Source organism: Homo sapiens, chromosome 6 (assembly GCF_000001405.40).
Source record: "Homo sapiens chromosome 6, GRCh38.p14 Primary Assembly".
In the NCBI taxonomy this organism is placed as follows: Eukaryota; Metazoa; Chordata; class Mammalia; order Primates; family Hominidae; genus Homo; species Homo sapiens.
In genome coordinates this window covers 60,665,150-60,670,559 of record NC_000006.12, presented here as the reverse complement: position 1 = coordinate 60,670,559, position 5,410 = coordinate 60,665,150, and positions in this window count along the sequence as shown.

Below are 5,410 nucleotides of genomic sequence, written 5' to 3'. Positions count from 1 at the left end.
AAATCCTGTACTGGAGTCCTCCAAATTAAGAACACATTTTAAAAATTCATTTTAGCAATTTTAGCTTATTTGCCCTTCTATGTAAATTTTATAATCAGTGTGTAAATTTCAGCTGGGGACATAATTAAATGGAAAGAAGAAGAGAAGGGAGGAGCAGAGGGCAAGAGAAAAGGAGGACAGGAGTAGATAAGACCCCTTGGCATTCAGTTTCTGGCAGAGAACCATTTCCCTGGTAGGATGATGACACTCCTGTTTTAAGAAGCCTGTATGCTAAGCAGATCACTGGGCAGGCCTATGTACCAAGAGATCCCTTCCTGCTTCTCTGATTTATTTTGTACAGCTCTCCAGCTTACTTTTCTTTTTCAGCCACATTTGTTTATTTTCACACATTCCAGAGGAAGTCATTTGCAACTAGTGTTTTCTTTGCTTGGGATGCCCTGGCCTTCACCACTTCCACCACCTTTAACCTAGTCATTCCTGGCATCCTTCAAGACACAGATTAAGACCCTGAGAGAAAGTCAACATACATCTCCCAGAACTAAGTTCAGGTCCTATGGTATATTCTCTCAATAATTACAATATTTAATTCCAGTTAATTACTTTTATGAGTAATTTTAGAGCCTGTTTCTAGGGTCAGACTGCTTGGATTTAAATTATATCTCTGAAACCTAATTGTTAGATGCCGTGTTAGTGAGGCTAGGTTACGCTATACAGCAGCACCATATTAACTGGAAAATCCCAGTGATTTAGCCTAAAAAAAAGTTTATTCCTTGCCCATAAAGTCCACTCTCCAAGGCCCATGTTCAGTGTGGTAGCCTGGCAATCCAGAATGCTTTCATCTGTGGCTCCTCCATATCAGCATCGGCAACCATGATTGCCAAAGAAGCCAGAGCACACAGGGAGTGTCTGTACATGGCCTCTGCCAAAGGGCATCCTCCTCACTTCCATTCACATTGCATTACCTAGAAATAGCCACATGACTTCCCCTAATCATGAGAGGCCTGAGAAGTGCAGTCCTCCATATGCCTAGGTAGAAGGGAAGAATGTAATATGGGCAAGCACTAGTGCAGTGGGTAGAAAATGTTCTTCCAAGATATCTGCAATGGAAAACAAAAATTTGTGAATGGCAAAATAAAGTTGCCCGGGGCAGGTGGTGGGGTCTCTGCAGATGTGATTGAAGTAAGGATCTTGAGATGGGAAGATTACCCAGGATTAGCTGAGTGGACCCTAAATATAACCACATATATCCTTATACGAGGGAGACAAAGGGAGATTTTACACAGAAGAGGAAAAGGCAGCATGACACAGAGACAGAAATAGGTGTGATGTGGCCATAGATCAAGGAATGGCAACAGCCACCAGGAGCTGGAAGCAGCAAGGAACAGATTCTTCCTGAGGGCCTCTAGAAGGAGAGTGGACCCACTAACACCTTGATTTCAGCCCAGTGATACTGATCTTGAACTACTGGCCTCCAGAGCTGTGGGAGTATAAATTCCTGTTGCTTTAATCCACCAAGCTTATGGTCATTTGTTACAGAAGCCACAGGAATCTAATACAACAAGAAATTTTACAGTAGTAACCAGGGGTGAGTTACTTAACCTGTCTGTGCTCCAGTTTCACATATTTGTTAGAAAGGGATATTAATCGCATTTATCACATAAGGTTGTTATCAGAATTAAATGACCAAACTACTCGAAACAGTGTTTGGCACATACTAAGCCATTCATTAATTACCAGCCATTGTCAGTTTCCTTGGCTAGACTGTAAGTTTGATGAGAACAAATTATTGTCTTGTTTACAAGAATGCCTGGCTAAGGAGTGAGGCAGAGTTCAGGTATTAGAAGGTGTACCAATCTAAACAAGAGCAACTAGCTGACCTGAGTCATCTAAGCTTCCAAGTACATAATCCTTCGGTTCTCCTTAAGGATCTAACTGGCCCAGGGCCCAGGACCAAGCTGAGCACATGGGAGAGTCAAGAGTCTCTAGCTGCAGATAATGGGGATCTGCAATATAGAGCCCTGGATGGGTTCTTTCATGGCTGAGACTTTACAAGATGCCAAGGAGAAAATGGATGCTCTTTCTCCCTCACAAAAGGAAATCTTACAGACAACAACTTTAAAAATTACCTGCATATCAGGTAATCATACACTTTTAAGTGATTCAAAGAACTGAAGAAATTTAACAAAGCCAGTAGACATCCTGAGACAAATGCAGATTCGATTTAGAAGAGAAGCCATAGAGAATTACACACAAGCCCATGACTCTTTGTGAGTCGTATAGTTGTAGAGCACAAAAAACACTAAAGGTAATTTTACTAGTTTGATGTTAAGAGCTCTTCACCATTTAAATTTCCTCACAGTGCTGAGGAATCAACCCCAAGACAGGATAGTGCTGTGTATTTGGCCACTGATATGGTTTGGCTCTCTGTCCCCACCCAAATCTCATTTTGTAGCTCCCATAATTCCCACTTGTTGTGAGAGGGATGCAGTGGGAGACAATTGAATCATGTGGGAGGGTTTTTCCCATGTTGTTCTCATGATAGCAAACAAATCTCATGAGATCTGATGGTTTTGAAAACGGGAGTTTCCCTGGACAAGCTCTCTTCTCTTGTCTGCTGCCATGTGAGATATGTGACTTTCACCTTCTGACATGATTGTGAGGCCTCCCCAGCCACGTGGAATTGTAAGTCCATAAACATTTCTCTTTTGTAAATTACCCAGTCTCAGGTATGTCTTCATCTGCAGCATGAAAATGGACTAATATAGCCACTGGCATAAGAGATAGTACAATTAATAGACTGTCAAAGGGTGAAAAATCCTGCTCCTTAGCAGGGAGAGGCAGCTTCCTACAAAGCCCTGATGTGGTTCTACAGCCAAGTCAAGGGAGCCCTGACATAAGAGCCTTATAATGCAGTGGTGGAAATTAAAAACTTAGTAAATGTGGGATAATGTTTTTTATCTTCTTTGACATTATAGGTGAAAACTTCAAGAAAGGTAAGATTCATTTCAGGGATCAAAACTCTCATTTTACTTAGTCATAACACATTTTACATGAAGAGGATTTACATTAATTACATTTCAAGTGATATGACATCAACAAAAAAGTAAAATGTGAAATATAAACTCTGTATGGTCCAAATGTAAGTGTTGTGGTAACACCTGAAGGGTAGGGACAATGTCTCATTTGTTGTTTTGAACCTAGCAAAGCCTCTTATGAGTAGTAAACAGTGACTAAAAGAAAAAAAGGTGGAGGCAGAGGCACAGCAAGTTATAATTAATCAGGGAAGGCTTCATAGGGCTAATTTAATTCAGTATTTTGTTAATGTATGGCAAATCCTCACTGATGCTAAGTGTACTTATTCATTCAACAAATATATATTTGCAGAAAAGGGCAAATATTTATGTGCAGAAAAGAGTTAGCATAGCAGTCTGGAGACTGACTACCCATCCTTAGAAAATTCTGCTTATAAGGTTGGTCTTTGCCTGGTACTTAAGAAGCTGACTGATAAACATTTCCCTACACTGATGCAAAACTTTCTCTAAATGAAAAAGTGGCTTACTCTACCTAAATGTTACACACGATGTGGTTTATGCTGAACAACCTCTTCTGGGAGTCTAATTTAGGTACATGCCTGATACGGTTTGGCTCTGTGTCCTCACCCAAATTTCATCTCAAATTATAATCCCCGTGTATTGAGGGTGGGACCTGGTGGGAGGTAATTGGATCACGGGGGCAGTTTCCTCCTTGCTGTTCTTATGATGGTGAGTGAGTTCTCACGAGATCTGATAGTTTTGAACTGTGGCACTTCTCCTTTGCTCACTCTCTCTCTACTGATGCCATGTAAAATGTGCTTTGCTTCCCCTTTACCTTCTGCCATGTTTGTTAAGTTTCCTGAGGTCTCTCTAGCCATACGAAATTGTGAATCAATTAAACCTTTTTTTTTTTTTTTTTTTTGGAGACAGAGTGTTGCTCTGTTGCCCAGGCTGGAGTGCAGGGGCGCGATCTCGGCTCACTGCAAGCTCCACCTCCCGGGTTCACATTCTCCTGCCTCAGCCTCCCGAGTAGCTGGGACTACAGGCACCCACCACCACGCCCGGCTAATTTTTTGTATTTTTAGTAGAGATGGGGTTTCACCATTTTAGCCAGGGTGGTCTCCATCTCCTGACCTCGTGATCCGCCCGCCTCAGCCTCCCAAAGTGCTGGGATTACAGACGTGAGCCACCGCGCCCAGCCCAATTAAACCTCTTTTCTTCATAAATTACCCAGTATCAGGTAGTATCTTTATAGCAGTGTGAAAATGGATTAATACAATGCCTAAGTGACCAGCTCACTAGAGACTGTGGACACTAAGTCTCTAATGAGCTTCCCTGGTAGAAGCTCACATATCTCACCACCAGAAGAACTAAGTACATCCTGTGGGATTCCATTGGGGGAGAATTCCTGGAAGCTTGCTCTTGTTTTTTTCCCCAAACTTGGCTCCATGTGCCTTTTGCCTTAGCTGATTCTGATTTTTATCCTTTCACCATGATAATTCACAGATATGAATATGTTTCCATTCTGAGTCTGTCTTTCTAATGATCACTGAACCTGGTAGTGACCTTGGAAATCCCGAACATAGAGCCAGGTATATGACGTGAGCTAAGTTCTAGATTTGCAATATCCATGCCTTCCTGGAGTTTACAAGACTATTGATAAAGAGACATGAATCAGATGATCATATAAAAAAATAAAATATAACTGCAATAGGTGCTATGAAGAAGGTCATGATGCCATGAGGCATATAATATGATAGTAAATAATTTGGCATAACCAAAGAGGTTGGGAAGACTTTCCTGAGAAAGAAAAAATGGGAAGATAATCAATCAACAGGGACTAGAACAAGCATCCCAAGGTAGCAGGAATCCTTGGGAATAAGCATCCCAAGGAAGAACAAGGTAGAACGAATAAGCTCTGGAATGGTCCTGGGACTGGCAGTTGCTAGAGCAGAAAAACATGGGTGATCAGGATGAGAGAGGAAGATTGGAAAGTAGGCAGGAGGCAGTCCATACAAAACCTGTGGCTCAAGTTAAAGAATCTGGCCTTTATTTTAATAATATTCGGAATCCATTCAAGAGTTTGCATGATCAGATGTGTGTGTTTAAAATACATATATTTATATATATATATATATTCAAATATATATATTGCACAGAAAGTACAGAGTTCCCACGTACCTCCTTCCCCCATTGTGTACAGCCTCTCCCATTTTCAGCACCCCCCATAGCCCCCAGAGTGGTCCATTTGTTTCAATTGGTGAAGCTACATTGGCACATCATTATTACCAAAAGCCCATCATTTACGTTAGTGTTCATTCTTGGTGTTGTACATTCTATGGGTTTTGACAAACACATAATAACAAAGGAATTACAAT